At 40.5% G+C, this 18,777-nt stretch overlaps 1 protein-coding gene, 1 long non-coding RNA gene and 1 pseudogene across 48 annotated transcripts in view, besides 9 other annotated features; 2 read left to right on the top strand and 1 right to left on the bottom strand.

The window, feature by feature from the left end:
• The window catches only part of TSTD3 (thiosulfate sulfurtransferase like domain containing 3), a 66,727-nt pseudogene extending 57,875 nt beyond the window's left edge, over positions 1-8,852 (bottom strand). For 13 of the 21 annotated variants that reach the window (NR_197373.1, NR_197375.1, NR_197383.1 and 10 more), the window contains exons 1-2: positions 8,754-8,852; positions 3,792-3,837 (exon numbers count right to left, since the gene is read on the bottom strand). The product of NR_197373.1 is annotated as a thiosulfate sulfurtransferase like domain containing 3, transcript variant 7 (transcript). Of the gene's footprint in view, positions 1-3,791; positions 3,838-8,100; positions 8,187-8,753 lie in introns of all 21 variants that reach the window. The other 8 variants (NR_197380.1, NR_197371.1, NR_197381.1 and 5 more) reach the window with 2 other exon arrangements.
• LOC124901365 (uncharacterized) lies at positions 5,662-9,133 on the top strand. Its single transcript, XR_007059691.1, has 2 exons — positions 5,662-8,115; positions 8,738-9,133. It is a non-coding gene; the product is annotated as an uncharacterized LOC124901365 (long non-coding RNA).
• Positions 8,241-8,310: an enhancer, noted in NCBI's record as "active region_24859". NCBI's record gives its function as "activates an Ori minimal core promoter by ATAC-STARR-seq in GM12878 lymphoblastoid cells {active_cell/tissue: GM12878}" and the evidence as "EXISTENCE:reporter gene assay evidence [ECO:0000049][PMID:35858748]".
• Positions 8,351-8,400: an enhancer, noted in NCBI's record as "active region_24858". NCBI's record gives its function as "activates an Ori minimal core promoter by ATAC-STARR-seq in GM12878 lymphoblastoid cells {active_cell/tissue: GM12878}" and the evidence as "EXISTENCE:reporter gene assay evidence [ECO:0000049][PMID:35858748]".
• Positions 8,491-8,680: an enhancer, noted in NCBI's record as "active region_24857". NCBI's record gives its function as "activates an Ori minimal core promoter by ATAC-STARR-seq in GM12878 lymphoblastoid cells {active_cell/tissue: GM12878}" and the evidence as "EXISTENCE:reporter gene assay evidence [ECO:0000049][PMID:35858748]".
• A 2,921-nt stretch (positions 9,134-12,054) lies between the features above and the next one.
• Positions 12,055-18,777, top strand: part of USP45 (ubiquitin specific peptidase 45) — an 85,522-nt gene continuing 78,799 nt past the window's right edge. For 16 of the 26 annotated variants that reach the window (NR_144344.3, NR_144345.3, NR_144346.3 and 13 more), the window contains exon 1: positions 14,478-14,509. The gene's annotated coding sequence lies outside the window, so the exon portion shown is untranslated. Of the gene's footprint in view, positions 14,226-14,477; positions 15,861-18,777 lie in introns of those variants that run through there. The other 10 variants (XM_047419423.1, NM_001080481.3, XM_047419424.1 and 7 more) reach the window with 4 other exon arrangements.
• Positions 13,657-14,562: an enhancer, noted in NCBI's record as "H3K27ac hESC enhancer chr6:99963215-99964120 (GRCh37/hg19 assembly coordinates)". NCBI's record gives its function as "activates a minimal SCP1, AML or CMV promoter by ChIP-STARR-seq in naive H9 embryonic stem cells {active_cell/tissue: H9 hESC(naive)}" and the evidence as "EXISTENCE:reporter gene assay evidence [ECO:0000049][PMID:30033119]".
• Positions 13,657-14,590: a biological region, named in NCBI's record as "H3K27ac hESC enhancer GRCh37_chr6:99963215-99964120".
• Positions 13,691-13,910: a silencer, noted in NCBI's record as "silent region_17420". NCBI's record gives its function as "represses an Ori minimal core promoter by ATAC-STARR-seq in GM12878 lymphoblastoid cells {active_cell/tissue: GM12878}" and the evidence as "EXISTENCE:reporter gene assay evidence [ECO:0000049][PMID:35858748]".
• Positions 14,221-14,590: a silencer, noted in NCBI's record as "silent region_17419". NCBI's record gives its function as "represses an Ori minimal core promoter by ATAC-STARR-seq in GM12878 lymphoblastoid cells {active_cell/tissue: GM12878}" and the evidence as "EXISTENCE:reporter gene assay evidence [ECO:0000049][PMID:35858748]".
• Positions 14,563-15,470: an enhancer, noted in NCBI's record as "H3K27ac hESC enhancer chr6:99962307-99963214 (GRCh37/hg19 assembly coordinates)". NCBI's record gives its function as "activates a minimal SCP1, AML or CMV promoter by ChIP-STARR-seq in naive H9 embryonic stem cells {active_cell/tissue: H9 hESC(naive)}" and the evidence as "EXISTENCE:reporter gene assay evidence [ECO:0000049][PMID:30033119]".
• Positions 14,641-14,740: a silencer, noted in NCBI's record as "silent region_17418". NCBI's record gives its function as "represses an Ori minimal core promoter by ATAC-STARR-seq in GM12878 lymphoblastoid cells {active_cell/tissue: GM12878}" and the evidence as "EXISTENCE:reporter gene assay evidence [ECO:0000049][PMID:35858748]".

Here is an 18,777-nt window from a genome sequence, read left to right as displayed (position 1 = left end):
CAACAGAGCAAAACTCCATCTCAAAAGAAGAGAAAGGAGTTTTTCCATGTATGCATGTATCCTGACACTGAGCATCAGGATGCAGCCTGTGCTGCCCTGAATGTTTGATATGGGCCTTGTGTCAGTTCCATATTTTACTCTTTCCAAGCCCCTTAATTGGTGGGAGCTTGTAAATACATATTCAGCATCTGGTAAGTGAATTATGGAAATAATCTGTAAATCTTAATCCAAGTTACAATATTAAGAAAATTTTAATTTCATTTCCCCTTGCAAGCAAAGATATTAAGCCATAGATTAGATGTGGGGACCTTACATTTTATACTACACTTGTAAGTACTTAATGGCACTGTTTTTTGTTTTTTTGTTTTTTTTGAGATGGAGTCTGGCTCTGTCGCCAGGCTGGAATGCAATGGCGCAATCTTGGCTCACTGCAACCTCCGCCTCTTGGGTTCAAGCAATTCTCCTGCCTCAGCCTCCTGAGTAGCTGGGACTAGAGGTGCATGCCACCATGCCCAGCTAATTTTTGTATTTTTAGTAGAGACGGGGTTTCACCATGTTGGTCAGGATGGTCTCGATCTCTTGACCTCGTGATCCGCCTGCCTTAGCCTCCCAAAGTGCTGGGATTACAGGCGTGAGCCACTGCGCCCGGCCTGACACCGTTTCTATCTCTTAAATACAGTCGCCTTTTGGTATCTGAAGGGGATTGGTTCCAGTACTCCCTTGGATACCAAAGTCTGTGGATGCTCAAGTCCCTTATATATAATGGCATAGCATTTGCATATAACTTAGGCACATCTCCCGTGTACTTTAAATCATCTCATTTACATATAATCCTTAGTACAATGTAAATGCTATGTAAGTAATTGTTATACTGTATTTTTGGGTTTTTGTTGTTGTTGTATTGTTATTTTGGTTTTTTCCTGAATATTTTCTCTCTAGTTGACTTGAATCCTCTGGTGTCGAACCTGCAGATACAGAGTGCCAACATTTTGTTACATAATATGGTATCGTAATATAATATTGTAACATAATATGGTATTGGAACCCATAAAATAAAATAAATCCATGGGTCCATACTGGTAAAAGGATATAATTGAATAAATAAATGGGGAGAAGGGATTATCTTCCTTATATGGGAACTTCCAACTAATAAATATAGAAGGAATGATGGGAACAGAAAACCATTAAGCAAACACTCCAGTAATAATTGTTGCAGATAAAAACCATTGATGGATATAGATCTAGTGAGTGAAAGTGTGATGAGAAATGAGGTAATATCTTTCCATGAGATACTAATTACAAAGGGAGAAACCTGAAAGATACTACTTTAACCAGTTATTCAAAGATAACTTCACTAGTAATAAGACATGTTGATAACATATGCCTCCTGATATGAGGCCCTGAGAAGAGTGCACAATATCACTTCCTTAGTATTCTTGCAAAAAAAATTCATGTCCTGAATCTAATTAGAAGAAAACCTCAGACAAAAAATCTACAAAGTAACTAGTACCCTTTTTAAAAGTGTCAATGTCAAGAAAGATTAAAGGCTGTGGATTAGTTAATAGTATTATATCAATATTAATTTCCTGATTTCAGTAATTGCACTATGTAAGATGTTCATACTATGTGAAGTTGGTAAGCATAAAGGAAACTTTTACTTTTGCAACTTTTCTACAGGTCTAAAATCATTTTTTAAAAAAGAATATCCAAAAGATTTTTAAAATAACAAAAAAATTAATAATGTTCATATTTCACAACAAAATGACCACTATAAGAAAGGTAAATAAGGCCAGGTGCAGTGGCTCACGCCTGTAATCACAATACTTTGGGAGGCTGAGGTGGGAGGATCACCTGAGTCCAGGAGTTGGAGACAGCCTGGGCAACACAGTGAGACTCCATCTCTACTAAAAGTTTCTTAAAAAATTAGCCAGATATGATGGCACCTGCCTGTAGTCCCAGCTACTAGGGAAGCTGAGGCAGGATGATCGTTTGAGCCCACGAGGTGGAGGCTGCAGTAAGGCTGTGATGGCACCACTGCACTCCACCAGCCTAAGTGACAGAGTGAGACTTTGTCTCAAAAGAAAAAAAAAAAAAAGTAAAAAAGGTAAATTATACAGGTATGCTTCAAATTTTGTTTAAAGTATTAAATATAGTAAAATTGATTTAAGTAGTGTAGAGCTGGCATAAGAAAAGGTTTAAAAGTCTAAGTCCAGAAAAGAGACTTACAATATACTTTATATGAGAATTTAGTATCTGCTAACAGTGACATTGCAAATTAATAAGAAAATGACATTATATTTAATAAATAGGCCAACTAAGTACGGGAAAACACTAAACTAAGCAGGCTGTTACCCCACTCCTTATGCTTAAATTCCAAATATAAACCTAAAATCTAATTTTTTTTTTTTTGAGATGGAGTCTCGCTCTGTCGCTCAGGCTGGAGCGCAATGGTGCAATCTCAGCTCACTGCAAGCTGTGCCTCCCGGGTTCACGCCATTCTCCTGCATCAGCCTCCCGAGTAGCTGGGACTACAGGCGCCCGCCACCACACCCGGCTAATTTTATGTACTTTTAGTAGAGACGGGGTTTCATCGTGTTAGCCAGGATGGTCTTGATCTCCTGACCTTGTGATCCGCCCACCTGGGCCTCCCAAAGTGCTGGAATTACAGGCGTGAGCCACAGTGCCTGGCCCTAAAATCTAATATCTTAAAAGTACTCATAGAAAACATGAGTAGATAATTTAAGTCTTAGGATAGGAAGGCCATTCTAAACATGACAAAAACCAGAAATCATAAAGGTTTGATCTCATAAAAATGCTAAAGTTATATATGGAAAAAGAACAATGAACATTTTGAATACAAGTAACAGGTAGGAAGAAAATTCTTGTAACATAGAAAAAAAACAAAAGATTAGTGTTAATAAAATAGAGTTCATACAAATAACTAGGAAAAAGAAAAAAATCCCCATAGAAAAATGGTCAAAATATATGAACGTGGATTGACAGGAGAAATATAAATAGCCAATAAAGTGTGAAAAGGTGCCCGATCTCACTACTAATTAAGGAAATACAAGATATAAACAAAATTTTGTTATTTTGTCAGGTTTGTAAAAATTAAAAGAATTTATAATATCAAATATTGGTGAGGGAAAGAGGAAATGGGTACTTTCATACATTGCTGGTAGTGTATAATGTCACAAACTTTTGAAGGGAAATTTAGCTGTAATAACATTTTAAGTATGTATATCCTTTTTACCTCACAATTTTAGTTTTAGGAATCTATCCTACAGAAACCTTAGTATGAGTTAATACAGATGTATATATATGCAATTATGTTTGTGGGTAGCATTCTTTGTAACATTAGAAAACTACAATAAGCTGGAAGTTCATCAATAAGGCAACTGTTATAAGTGGTACATTTATACAATGGGATATGCATTATTTAATGTAAGTTGTCCAAAATAGTATTGAATTTAAAAAACTAGTTGTTGAACATTATGTATAAACCTAAGGTTCCCAAACTTTCTGGGTTTACAATGCTCTTAATGCCTTGGTAATTTTTTGCAGGGCTCATAGGCCAAAAGAAATAAACAGCAGTTCCATGTATTAAGTAGTTAAGAAAAGACAAAAGTAAGTTGCAAAAAAAGCGTATCTTCTTATGAAAAACAGACACTCTTTTGTTTTATTTCTTTTTTTTTTTAAGACTAGTCAAGTGCAGTAGTGAGAAGGAGGGAAAGAGTAGAACAAGTTCGATCTGTAACTGACTGGACAATCAATTGAGGTAACTCACTTACCTTCAGACCAGCCACACTTTTCTATTTTCATCTGTCATTTTCATGGCTAGGAAAGTAACATAAAAATGGACAAATAGCTATAAAGGTTTAAACGAACAGGTTTCCAGCTATTCCACTCCCATGTATATGCTCAAATGAAAACAGGGGCTCAAACAAATACTTGTACACTAATGCTTATATTTATTCACAATAACCAAAAGGTGGAAACAACCCAAGTGTTCATCAGCAGATTATGGATAAATAAAATGTGATGTATACATACAATGGAATATTAGTCATAAAAATGAAGTACTGACACGTGCTACAATATGGATACACCTTGAAAACATGCTGAGTGAAATAAGCCAGATGCAAAGGACAAATATTATATGATTCCATTTATATGAAATATATAGAACAGGCAAATTCATAGAAAGTAGGTTAGAGGTTGTCAGGAGGTGGGGGGAGGAGGAATGGGGAGTTTTTGTTTGGGGTGATGAAAATTTTTGCACTGAAATAAAAAGTGTTGATGGTTGCACAACACTGTGAATATAATTAATGCTACTGAATTGTACATTCAAAATAGTTAAAATCACATTTTATACATATTTTACCACAATAAACAAAACTTAAAAATAAAAATATAGGTTTCCTCACCCCCTTCAGATTTGAAAAGTTGATTCACTGTGTCTACAACATTAGATCTTAACCTGGAATCAAACTGTTTCTCATCCAGCTAGCTGTTTTCTGAATTCCCAGAATATAAAGAGCCAGCAGGCTGAATTAATGCTCATTACTGCTTCTCATTGTTAGGAACTAGAAAACTATGGTAATTTTATAATTTATGTTAAACTCAAGATTCTGGCTCTTAGCCACTGTGAAAGACAGTGACAGCAAGTAACTTCTTTAACTGGATCAAATAGTTATGTTTTTCTTGTAGTCATCTAACTGATATTTAACTTTCTATAATTCAATTATACTCCTATTGGGAGGTGGAGGATGGGGGAAATAACCAGTGAACACTGGAACCAGTGAACACTCGAACCAGTGAACACTCAGTGAGCAAAAGCCTGAAGTAAGCCTATTTGTTTGATGAGGCTCAGCTCCCCCAAGCCTCTCATGATATGAGCCTCTATTGCATACTAATTATTTAAAGCCAATAGTGTGTGTTTTTATGTACAGCATGTGCTCCACTTGCAAATCAACCACTTCATCTTGTGCTCAAAGAAACACTAATCTGTTCCTATATTGAAGAAAAACTGGCTATTTGGGATTTACTGAGAGATGATGTGTGGTTCTCTAGAGGGATTTTCAAGAGTAATACAGACTGCACCTGATTTTTACCTTTTCAGCCTAACCTTTGAATAACCTCCAGTTTTGTGGTTTCCACATTAGTAGACTTAACATCACCTGGATGTCACTGCAGCATTACATCACAGGATAGAATCCAAGCTCCTTAGTATGTTCCTTAATGCCTTTCAACAACCCCTTACCAGCACAGTTTACCAAACCCACTCCTCCTTTCATTTCTCCTCTTAGGCCCCAATTGCTCTATCCTCCAGCTACATCAAAAGTATATGTGTGCTCCTGGCGGGGCACAGTGGCTCACGCCTGTAATCCCAGAACTTTGGGAGGCCGAGGCAGGCGGATCATGAGGTCAGGAGTTCGAGACCAGCCTGACCAACATGGTGAAACTCCCGCCTCTACTGAAAATACAAAAATTAGCTGGGCGTGGTGGCACGTGCCTGTAATCCCAGCTACTCAGGAGGCTGAGACAGGAGAATCACTTGAACCCATGAGGCAGAGGTTGCAGTGAACGGAGATTGCGCCACTGCACTCCAGCCTGGGCAACAGAGCGAGACTCCATCTCAAAAAAAAAAAAAAAAAAAAGTATATGTGTGCTCTAAATACAGTTTTATAATGAAAAGAGAAGGGATTTTAGAGTCAGATAAACCTAGAGTCACATTCTGGCTTACCCACTTATCCCTGTAACCCTACAGAAATTACTTAAAATTTGTAGGACTTAGTTTCTTATTTGTAAAATAGGAATATTATTATCATTTAAACCTATGAGCTTTAAGTAAGGTAATGTATATACAGTGCAATCAATCAATATCTATTTCTGCCTTTCCTTCGTGATTTATACATACTGCCCATTCTGAAAGGAATACCTTTCTCCCTCATCTCTCCATGGAACACTCTTACTCTCCTTTAAGACCCAGTTAAATGTCCCTTGCCACCTCTCCTTTAATCTAACAATTTTGCATCTAGATATCTATTTTAGTAAAATATTTGTACAAATACACAAAGTGGTATGTACAATGATAATTACTGAACAACTTTATAATAGCAAAAAAATTGGAAATCAAAATGTTCATCAATAGGTGACTGGTGAAATGGTGGAATATATGCAGCAGTTAAGAGAGTTACATGTGCCGCCATGGAAGGCTTCTGAATACCTGAGAAAAAATTGCAGAAAAGTATGCACAGATCACATTTGTATATACAGTATTTTTATGTACTTTTATTTATGTATATTCATAGACAAGTGTTTAGAAGGATGTGTATCAAGCCATATCTGGGGAGAAGAGTGGGAAGAGGAGGATATATAAAGGAGCAATATGTTGTGTTTTGTTTTCATATGAGGATAGAATCATTTAATACTAGCATAATTTTTTTTTTTTTTTTGAGATGGAGTCTTGTTCTGTCACCCAGGCTGGGGTACAATAGTGCAATCTTGGCTCACTGCAACCTCCGCCTCCCAGGTTCAAGCAATTCTCCTGCCTCAGCCTCCCGAGTAACTGGGATTACAGGCATGTGCTACCATGCCTGGCTAATTTTTATATTTTTAGTAGAGGCAGGGTTTCACCATGTTGGCCAGGCTGGTCTCAAACTCCTGACATAAGGTGATCCACCCACCTTGGCCTCCCAAAGTGCTGGGATTACAGGCGTCAGCCACTGTGCCCAACCACTAGCGTAATTTTATATGTATATTTATTTATTTTGAGACAGGGTCTCGCTCTGGCGACCAGACTGAAGTGCAGTGGCATGATCTCCCAGGCTCAAGTAATCCTTCCACCTAAGCCTCCTTAGTAGCTGGGACTACAAGCGCTTGGCTGATTTTTGTATTACAGCATAATTTAAATGAAAAGATACCTTTTTCTAATATTTTCTAGAACTCAGAGTCAGTTGTTCTTTTCCATTGCAGTGTCACTTGACTGGGCTGTGTGTGGTGATTACTTGTGTCTGCCTTCCCTAGAAATGGGTGAACTGAGCTGCAGAGGCTGTATCCCCAGCAGGAAGCCCGGCAGTTTAGGAGCTTAATAAATGATTGATTTTTCATGTTTGAGACAAAGTCTTGCTCTGTGGCCCAGGCTGGAGTGCAGTGGTGCAATAATGACTCACTGTATCCTAGACCTCCCAGACTTAAGCAAGTCCTCCCACCTCAGCCTCACCGGTAGCCGGGACTACATGTGTGTGCTACCATGCTGGGTTTTTTTTTTTTCTTTTTTAGTAGAGATGGGGGTATCACTATGTTGCCCAGGCTGATCTCGAACCCCTGGGCTCAAGCAGTCCTCCTGCCTTGGCCTCCCAAAATGCTGAGATTATAGGCGTGAGCCACCACGCCAGTCCCAGAGCTCAATAAATGATTCTTTTTTTAAAAGACAGGGTCTCACTTTGTCACCCGGGCTGGAGTGCAGTGATGTGATCTTGGCTCACTGCAGTCTCGACCTCCTGGGCTCAAGTGATCCTCCTGCCTCAGCCCTCCAAGTAGCTGGGACTACAGGTGTGTGCCACCAAGAGCAGCTAATTTTTTCTACAGACAGAGTTTTGCCATGTTGGCCAGGCTGGTCTTGAACTTCTGACCTCAAAAAGCTCAGCCTCCCGGTGCTAGGATTACAGGCAAGAGCCACCGCGCCCCACCAAATGATTCTTGAATAAAGGTGAAAGGAAACACTCTGTGGCCAGGAGCAGTAGCTCACACCTGTAATTCCAACACTGTGGGAGGCCGAGGCAGGAGGATCACTTGAGGCCAGGAGTTCGAGACCAGCCTGAGAAACATAGCTAAAACCCCATCTCTACAAAAACAAAACAAACAAAATCAGCTGGGCCTGATGGCCTCCGCCTGTAGTCCTAGCTACGTGCAGACTGAGGGGAGGATCGCTTGAGCCAAGGAGTTTCAAGCTGCAGTGAGCTGTGATTGCAGCACTGCATTCCAGCCTGGGCGACAGAGCCAGACTCTGTTTCTTAAGAAAGAAAGAAAGAAAAAAAAGGAGAAAAGAAAAAAAATTTGCATAGAAAAGCACATCTTAAACTACAGAGGACTTACCAACAGTTAAAATAGGTAGGTGGGGCTGGGGGTAAGCTGTGTTAATGCTGGGTCCCTGTAGCTGCATCCACAGATAAAAGTTGGTGCTGGAGAGGCAGCATGCAAAGCGAAAAGAAGGGACTGCTTTGAGTTCTAGACCCAACGCCTCCGGTAACCACCTTCATTTCTCTGGCTTCTGCTGGCTCATCGGTAAAATGAGGGGTGGTATTTTTATAGTTCTAACACGTTATAGTTCTAGGTGGCTGTTTCATGAAGCGCCGAGCGCTGCTCTGTAGCGGGTCACAAATGTAACTCGCAAGGCTGGGCTCGGCATTACGACTCTCGCCGGCAGGGAGTGGCCATCTTGCTCGCTCCTCTGAGTCGCGAAATTGGCTTTCATGTATTGCTCAGTCAAGCACCACTACCAATATAAACGCCCTCCCATACGACCTCGCTGGAGCAATGTTTACCTCTGTCCCTGCGTCCCCAGAGCGCCCACAGGTTCGGGTAGCCCGAAATCTTCCCCAGGTGGGTGTTACATCCCCAGGTGCCAAGAGTGATGGGTCTGACTTTTAACTGGAAGTCTAAAGAAGCGAGCACCCCCACCAATGTTAACCCTTGCCTGAAGTCTAAGGTTAGGCGCTCTCCCTTTCCCCAGGGACCACCAAGCTCACCGCAGAGCGCAGCCTCCGCGGACCCGAGGACCGCCCTGCGCGCAGTCTCGAGCAGCAACCAGGGTAGCACCATTGCGGGCCGGCGGCCGCCGCGCTAGTGACCACTTCCTCCTACTCCTTCTCCTCCTGCTCCGGCCTCCTGGCGCCCTGCTCCAGGCTCTCCGGCGCCCTCCAGCCAGGCACCGGCCGAACCGGGTAGTGCCGCAAGGTGTAATTACTGCTTTGAAACTTTAAAGGCATTTGGAAAGAAACTACGGGTTATGCTTACTTTTTTTGTTTTTGATTATTATTTTGTAGGAGACACAAAGTTTAAAAATAGAAAGCAAAAAGTGTGACACATTTAAAGAGTTAAAGGAAATAAACGTTTCCAATTTACCTTATAACATGATTTTCATACACTGGATTTGTTTAAAACAGACTGACTACATGGATAACTTTTCTAGGAATTGTTCTTAACTCTGATAGCTGGCTCAACTGATGTAGGCATTAAAATAACGTCATATTACCATCTTTCCTCCACGAATTGATGATATTTGACTATAGCTTTGTCAGGGTTATGTCCAACTATTGTATAATATGTGTCAGTTTCCTATTGCTACCGTAACAAATTACCCCAAATTTACTGGCTTAAAACAACACAAGTTTACTATATACAATTCTGTAGATTAGAAGTCTCACTTGGCTAAAATCAAGGTGTCAGCAAGGCTGTGTTTCTTCTGAGCTCCAGAGTAGAATTTCTTGACTTGTCTTTTCTGTCTTGTAGTGGTTGCCTGCATTCCTTGGCTCTCATGGCCTCCTTCTCCATCTTCAAAGCCAACAGCTTTGAGCTTCAAATCCCTGATTCTGACTCCTGCTTCTGTTATCACAGCTCCTTCTCTTCCTCTGATTCTGCTGCCTCTCTTTTATAAGGACCTTTACATTCAGACCACAGAGATAATCCATGATAATCTTCTCATCTCAAGATACTTAATTTAATCACATCTTCGAAGTCCCTTTTGCCAGTTAAGGTAACACATTCACAAGTTTCAGGTTTGTAGAACATGAACATCTTTGGGGCAGGAGGTCATTATTAAAACTACCACATAAAGTTTCTCATTATCTTATTTTTTATTTATTCTCAGGTTGGTTCCCAAACATAATAAAAGCTATATTTAACTGCAAATAGATTTACAGTTAAAAATTAAAATATTTGACCAGGTGCTGTGGTTCCAACCTGTAGTCCCAGTTACCAGCAGGCTAAGGCAGGAGAGTCACCCGAACTCAGGAGTATGAGGCTATAGTGCACTGTGATCAGCCTGAGTGACTGAGTGAGACCCTATCTCAAAAAAAAAATTAAAATATTCATGTTTAAATGGCATTATTAAAGTGTATGTCCAAGGAATCATTTCATTAAGCATTTACTTTTAAATTCTTCAGTTATCAATAATTTAATAAGCTATAAACCATTTCAGATTTCTAGACCAATGACATCATTTATAATTATTTTCCAAATAATTTGGAGCTTAACCATAGTCTCCGTGTAATTTATTTTGTGGATTCACTTTTAACTAAGATATCACTATATACTGTAGATTCATGTAGTCTCTGTGGCATCCTCATTCTAAATATACATCATAAATCACAGGTAGTATGAACACAAGATAGGGAAACAATATACTTGGCCTCACTGAATAATATTTAATCTGATTTCTGCTTTTGCAGGAGAAGTATTACTAAACAATTATTCTTTTAGGGCTCATAACTAATTATTATTTAAAAAATATTTTTATGTAGGACTTTTTTTTCTGAGGAGATAAATATGCCTTTCCATATATAGCACACTGCTAAACTTAGTTTATTTAAGAGTCCTTGCAGCAAAAAGATCTTGTCAAAAGAGGTTCTTGATCATTGTTCCTAGTTATCTTGATCATTGTGTCCAAGTTATTCCATCATTGTTAAGGAATAATTTAAGCAAGACTTAAAATTGATAAAAGAGGGAGAAATAGTTTTCACTTTTCTGAGAAAGATTTACTAGTGCTGAGTTGATATGAATCATTAATTCTCAAACAACTAATTTAATTTTTTGTTGTTACTCATGTGTTAGTGAAAGGCTATTGGAAAGAAGACTTTTTTTCTTTTTTTTTTTTCTTTTCTTTTCTTCTTTTTTTTTCTTTTTGAGGCAGATTCTCACTCTGTTGCCCAGGCTGGAGTACAGTGACAAGATCTCGGCTCACTGCAACCTCTGGCTCCCGGGTTCAAGCGATTCTCCTGCCTCAGCCTCCCCAGTAGCCACCAAGCCTGGCTAATTTTTGTATTTTTAGTAGAGACGAGTTTTCACCATGTTGGCCAGGCTGGTCTTGAACTCCTGACCTCAAGTGATCCACCCGCCTCAGCCTCCCAAAGTGCTGGGATTACAGAAGTGAGCCACCACGCCCGGCAGAAGGAAGACAATTTTTAAGAGACTTGGGATTTTTCCCTTTTCTTTTTATTTTATTTTATTTTTGACCAATAAAGTCATTTCACACCCATTTCTTTTAAAATCAACTTTAAGTCCCCATATAACAGACTAATAAAATGAAAAATTAGGAAATGTATGGCCTTTCATGTGATTCTCTTTTTTTTAAAGAATTTTTATCAAAACTTTAAATGAACATCTGTTGACTCAGCATTTCCACAGTGAACAATTTACTGAGAATACTTGTGTTAGTAAGCAAAGACAAGTGTACACTAACAAGAAACTGATGAAAAAATAAAAACATTCATTCACAAGAGACTTAAGCAACTGCTCAAAAAAGTGAGGCTAATATGGCCCAGCACGGTGGCTCACGCCTGTAATCCCAGCACTTTGGGAGGCCGAGGCAGGCAGATCACCTGAGGTCAGGAGTTCAAGACCAGCCTGGTGAACATGGTGAAACCCCGTCTCTACTAAAAATACAAAAATTAGCCAAGTGTGGCAGCGCATGCCCGTTGCCCCAGCTACTCGGGAGGCTGAGGCAGGAGAATCGCTTGAACCCGGGAGGCAGAGGTTGCAGTGAGCCGAGATCATGCCACTGTACTCCAGCCTGGGTGACAGAGCAAGACTCTGTCTCAAAAAAAAAAAAAAAAAAATAGGTTAATATGAAAATATGTCTGACATATACTGTGAAGTGAAAAATTCAAGTCATAGAAGAGAATGTAGACTGTAATCTAAGCTGTGTTATCTTTTAGCATAAAGGTAGTCATATAAAAACATGGTACAAATGCCTGGTGTACGCACAAAGACAGTGCCTAAAACTATATATCAGAAAACAGCAAGCAGAGAAGAGGAAATGGGAGTGTGGGAAGGAGGGGAAGATGAGAAACCAGCAGGTATTACTTTTAAAATAAAGAGTGTATCTTAAAAATATATACTTGATATCTGGTTCAATTTGGTGTTTGATAAAAAGGAGCTGGGCTCGGTGGCTCACACCTTTAATCCCAGAACTTCGGGAGGCCAAGGCAGATGGATTGCTTGAGGTCAGGAGTTCAAGACCAGCCTGGCCAACATGGTGAAACCTTGTCTACTAAAATACAAAAAAAAAAAAAAAATTAGCTATGTGTGGTGGCAAGTGCCTATAATCCCAGCTACTAGGGAGGCTGAGGCAGGAGAATTGCTTGAACCCAGGAGGCAGAGGTTGCAGTGAACTGAGACCATGCCACTGCACTCCAGCCTGGACAACAGAGAGAGAATCCGTCTCAAAAAAAAACAAAAAAAGGAAAAAAATACACTTGATAGAAATATAAGAGGAATATATATAGCCTACAGCTTAACAAAGATTCCCCATATTTCCAAACAGAACATGATGGTAAATTTAAGATATTTAGCATTATTTGGAAAATACATGGTTAGGTAATCTTAAGGTAATCTATATTTTTATTTGATGTTTTGTTATAATGTCATTGTAATAGCACTAAAACATACTTACTGAGTAATATTTAAAAATAATTTCCTTTCTTTGAATAATCCATCAAGTAGTAAATTTTACATTCAATTAAGTGAAAAGGTAAATGAGGAACATCAGAAATAAAATAAAATAGTGTTAGAGAATTTTCCTTAATTTATGCCAAGTTTTGAAACAAAGAATGAAATCTCTGGAGATTTTGGTTATGCTAAGGGTCTATCTAGTGGAAATCAAGATAGCTTTGAATTTTGTCGTTTCCAAGAAAATTTAAGTATTGTATGGTATTTGATAATTTCTAATTTTTTTCTTATGAAGAAAAGAACCTAAATTTCCATAATCTAATTCAATCCCTTTTAAAAAATCAATCATAAACTGGGTTTCCACATATATTTTTTAAAATCTCTTTTACAGTGACACAATTAAGATGCAAATTATTTAGATTTGCTCAAGTTTGCTTGTTCTTGTTCTTCCAAGTTCTAGGTCAAATCCAAAGTTAAAATACATGAAAGCTTTTGATTTATGAAGTAGACAATTTTGCCTTCAAAATTACACCACATGACCTCTTCTTATTTGAGGAATATTTTCTTTTTCCCTAGGGAAAAAAATTATCCTAACCCCAAAATGATAGTGTACCTCTATACCTGTAACAGCAACTGGCATATCTGTGCTCAATTATGTTTGTTAAATGAATGGTCCTTGTTAAGTACGATATAAGCAAATATCAACCTTCTTTGCCAAGTTCTCCACATGTAAATACTGTTAGAAGAGTTTTTAAAGAAAAATTTAGTGTTTGCAATTTTAACTCTCGTATCTTCTGATTTCTACGCCAATGCTCTTATCCTTAAAGCCACATTTGTCCCTTGGCTGAAGAGTTGTGAAAGATCAGGAGACTTTTAGAACCTATCCATAACCAGTGTTGGCATTTGCAATATCCATGATTGAAACAAAATATTTTCAAACCAACTACTTTTACTAAACATGCAATGTGCTGGCCACTTCAACAGATAACCGGGCTTTGAGGAGGTATAGGTGTATTTCAAGAAATGTACTATCTAGCTAGGAAGAGAGAAGGATAGGTAAGACAACAGCAATGGGGGAAAAACCACAATAATATATGACGAATGTTAGATGTGACTTTAAGAGTTCAGGGGGCGGCGGGGGTGTGGGGGCGGAGCCGGGCGCGGTGGCTCAAGCCTGTGATCCCAGCACTTTGGGAGGCCGGGGCGGGCGGATCACAAGGTCAGGAGATCGAGACCATCCTGGCTAACACGGTGAAACCCCGTCTCTACTAAACAAAATACAAAAAATTAGCCGGGCGTGATGGCGGGCGCCTGTAGTCCCAGCTACTCGGGAGGCTAAGGCAGTAGAATGGCGTGAACCCGGTAGGCGGAGGTTGCAGTGAGCCGAGATCTTGCCATTGCACTGCAGCCTGGGCGACAGAGCGAGACTCCGTCTCAAAAAAAAAAAAAAAAAAAAAAGAGTTCAGAGGAGGGTAACGGAGGGAAATCGGAGGCTGTTTCAGAAGGTGCCCAGCAACAAGTGGGACTTAAGCCGGACTCCTGCAACATCCGAGGTGCGCACGCTGGCCCAGGATCCTAACAAATTGCTAGTCGGTGGCTATGAGTCTTAGATTATCAGGGACTCTCCGGGCTCTGCGGACACGCAGAACGCAGGCGCCACGCAAGCCGGCCCCGCCCTTTCACCCCTCCCCGCGCTCCCGGGCCCCGGGCGCGCCGCCTGGAACCCTCCCGGTCCTGGCTGGGGGCGGGCGAACGAGGCCCCACCTCTGCCGGGAGCGGGACGAGCGCGCAGGCGCAGTCTCCCCAGGTTGTAGACGCTGCGGCCCGGCCCGGCGGGGTGAGTTGAGAACGCGGCGCTTTGGTCGCAGCGGCGGTATGGTCGCCGCAGTTTCTCGGTCTTCGCTTCGGCGACCTTGACCCCCTTGTGGGTGGGCGAGGCTGGAAGAGAGGCTCCCCACCCCACTCGGCTTCCTGATCCCTGGGGGCGCCGGGCGGTCACCGAGGGCCGTGTGAGCGCCGCTCTGCCGGCTCCGGGTCCATGCGGCTGCGGGAGAAGCCCTGGGCGTCGGGGCTGGCCTGGGAGGGGCCCGAGTCCCCTGGTGACCTGGGCGCGCGGCGGCCCCACACCTTTCCGTCCGCCTCATCGCGGCGCATTTCTCTTCACATCCTCGGGGTGTGTGTGTGTTGGTGACCGGAGGAAGCCTGTCTAATGACTTTTCTGGAAGCGTCGTGTATTAGGAGCTCCGGGGCCGGACTGCTTGGGTCCGCATCTCCATCCACCGCTTACTGGCTTTGGGACCTCTGCAAGTCACTTCACTTCTCTTTCTCAGTTTCAAGTGTAAAATGCGGAAAATAATAGCAACTTATCTCCTAAGGTGGTTGTGAGGGTTGCGTGGGTTAATATTTGTGAAGTGCTTAGAACTGAGCGTGATACACAGCAAAACCATAAGTGCTGCTCATCTTTTTGAGCTTGGTATATAAAAGGAGATAGTGACCTTTTCTTCTCTTTCCAACCCCCATAAATAATTGCCCAAGAGTAGGAAAAAAGGATTTTTTTTTCTTAAGGATATGGGCTTTTTGCATAGCCTGTTTAAAAACAAAGCTTTCTAAACAACTTAGTTGCACATCCTACTTTAGAGAAAAGACAAGTGTTAAGTGATGGTGACTTGAAAACTGTAAAGTTTATTGTTTGGAAAACCGCATGAGAAAAATGGCCAGAACATATTTGTGCTAAAAAGAGTTAACATAGCAGGCCTTAAGACTGCTATCCTTAGAAAGGACTGCTTGCAATGTTGGTGCTTGTTTGGCATCTGGGAACTTAGATTTTTGGGTTTGTGCTGAACAGTATGTTTTATGCCGAAATTACCAGCTTCTGTAAAAATCCGGGACACCAAGTCTTTAATGGGCTTCCCTGCGCGGAAACTGCTGCATTTTCACTGATGGAGGAAGGATGTGTTTTGTTTGACCCCTCTTGGGAGGGAGACCGCATAAGGAGCCTACACGTGATTCCTCCAGACTCCGCTTGTGTCTTTTTCTATTATGATGAGCCTTTATATCCATACTGCATTGTGTAATAAATGTCAGCCATGAATTCAACTATATGTTGAGTCCCGTGCATCCTATCAAAGCTCTAAATGTGGGGGAGATCACGGAGATCCTCAGCCACAGTTTTGTAAATTTGTATAAAGGTAAGGGATATAAGTGCCGTTTTTTTACGAGGATATATTTCCTAGTGGTACTGGGCTTTTAGTGTAACCATCACCTGAATAATGTACATTGTGTCCATTAAGCAATTTCTCATTCCTCACCCCACTCCCATCCTTCCCAGTCTCCAGTGCCCAGACACAATTTTGATGATAAAAAGTATTGGAAGCTCTAATAATTGGACTTTTAATTTTGCCCTTTTGCCTCAAATGGAAATTGGAAAACTACAGATAAATAATTGCCGAATTCTGGGTTACTGTACCAAATGATTCTGTCTGTTTAGACATTACATATGGCAGAAAAATCATCAGAAATTGCCTCTACATTACCAAGTTAATTTTGAGTCAGTGTTTTTGAAAAAAGGCACAGGTTGCTTACAGTATGTAGGTCAAATGCCTGGTTTTGTTTATTATTTTGCTAGCATTATCTGTGTTAATGCTCATCTTTATCAAGAGCTTATCTGTACCACAGCGAGAAAATATAATCAGTTTCTCATAGGCCATTTTCCCTGTACTTTATTAGTTATACCTATCTCTTTTCAGGACATCAAATTTAAATTGATGGAGGTAGGTTTGCAAATTTGGGGTTAGAAAGATCAAATTTGCCGTCTGCTTATGTCTCTTTTCCCTTATAAAAGACTAGATCAGTTTTTGGTAAGTTAGTTGGGAGTTGGAGGGGTTAGAGGTTTGAGGAAAGTGAAGAAGATTTGAAATGGCTCTGTGGATAGTATGTAAGTTGACCAGAAGGTGAAGTGAATAATAATGGACCTAGTCTGCTTTCTTAAGAGACTTTCTCCCGACATGGAGAAAATGGTTAATTGGGTTCATCTAGGATTGGGTTCTGCGAGAGAGGTGATGTAGTCCTTAAGGCTCTGCACAAGTATTCCGGTTCACCTATTTTTGGGTACATGTAATGCTGCACTCTTTGTACATGGGCAACCCCTCTCCATGTCTGCTTGAAGTTAAATGTGCCATGTGACTTGCTTTAGGAAGCAGCTCTCCATTTGCCATTTCCACTTCTCCCTGCCCTGCTGTAAGGGTCATGGAAGGACTTGTTGAGATGCAGCCTCTTGTCAGCCTGGACACTATAGGAAAATATGAGTGGCTGATCAGGCAAGTTGGAAGAACTGGGAAGTTGCTGTCAGAGAAGGGGATACTTAAATTAGTGATTTTATAAGGTGGAACTGTAGGGGAGAGTAGATGAGGAAGTTTGGAGGGAGAAGGTAGAGATGAAGTGCTCAAGGAACTCAGAGGCTTTTTACATGTTCCTAACCCGGAAGCCCTTAATTTATTGCAACTTAGTTCAGTAGTGATGACCGTTGGACTTAATGGTAAACTTGAAAGCTCCCTTATTGTGAATTATGGAATGAATAAATCAAGATTTGGAATTTAGTACTGAATTGAAAGATTCATTACCTTGATCATTGAGAAGTAAGTCAGCAACCATGAAAATTGCGATGTTGCTTAGCCACCAGGCAGGAGAGTAAAAGGTAGGCCAAGCTACTCTAACAGAGACTCCAAAATATAGTAGTTTTAAAAAATGCTTAGCTTGTATCTAAAATCTTTGATAATTAACTGAATTTTTAATAAATATAAGGGATAGAGGTAAATAACACTATGAAGAAAGAGACAAATTCAGTGTGAGACATTATATAACTTTGCTGTCGAAAGAGTATTCTATGGGCCCCCAGCAGTGGCTTCAGTTAGAAGCTTTTTAGGTAGGTAGAATCTCAGGTCTTGTGCCAGACTTGTTGCATCAGAACTTTCATTTTAACAAGACCCTCAAGGTGACTCATGCACTGGCCTGATCTCTTTAAAAAGCTAAAGTCTTAGGCAAGTAACAGGTTGGAAGAACTGTTCTGTTAATAGATTAAAAGATACTAAAGAGACATAACCAATATCAAGTGCAAACCTTGATTGAATCTTTTTCAAAAAACCAGCTATAGAAGACAATTTAGGGTCAACTAAGGAAATTAGAATATGATGGAATATGAGATGATATTAGAAAATTATTAATTTTCTTAGATATGATTACATTGTTATATAGGAGAATGTGCTTATTTTTAAGAGATACATGCTGAAGTATTTAGGGATGAACTGTCAAGATCTCTACAACTTTCAAATAGTTCAACTATGTGTATATATATATATATATATATATATATATATATATATATATACACACACTCACATACATATATGTGTCTCTCTATACACACATATTGATATTTAGATAAAAACAAACATAGCTAATTGTTAATAGGTGTGGAATTGGTGGGGCACCATGGCTCATACCTGTAATCCCAGCAGTTTGGGAAGCCAAGGCATGTGGATTGCTTGAGCCCAGGAGTTCGAGACCAGCCTGGGCAACATGGGGAAATCCCATCTCTACTAAGAAATACAAAAAAATTATCTGGGCATTGTGGTGTGCACCTGTAGTCCTAGCTACTTGGGAGGCTGAGGTGGGCGTATCACCTGAGCCTGGGGAGGTTGAGGCTGCAGTGAGCTGAAATCAGGCCACTGCACTCCAGCCTGGGCCATCAGAGTGAGACTTTGTCTCAAAAAATAATAATAGCCGGGCACGGTGGCTCACGCCTGTAATCCCAGCACTTTGGGAGACTGAGGTGGGCGGATCACGAGGTCAGGAGATCGAGACCATTCTGACTAACACAGTGAAACCCTATCTCTACTAAAAATGCAAAAAAAATTAGCCAAGCCTGGTGGCACACGCCTGTAATCCCAGCTACTTGGGAGGCTGAGGCAGGAGAATTGCTTGAACCCAGGACGTGGAGGTTGCAGTGAGCCGAGATCCATCTCAAAATAATAATAATAATAATAATAGTAATAATAATATAAATGTGGAATCTAATTAGTATATGAGTGTTCATTATACTGTTCTTTT

Source organism: Homo sapiens, chromosome 6, assembly GCF_000001405.40.
Source record: "Homo sapiens chromosome 6, GRCh38.p14 Primary Assembly".
Taxonomy (NCBI): Eukaryota; Metazoa; Chordata; class Mammalia; order Primates; family Hominidae; genus Homo; species Homo sapiens.
The sequence above is the reverse complement of the archived record's forward strand: the minus strand, read 5'-3'. Positions and strand labels throughout refer to the sequence as shown.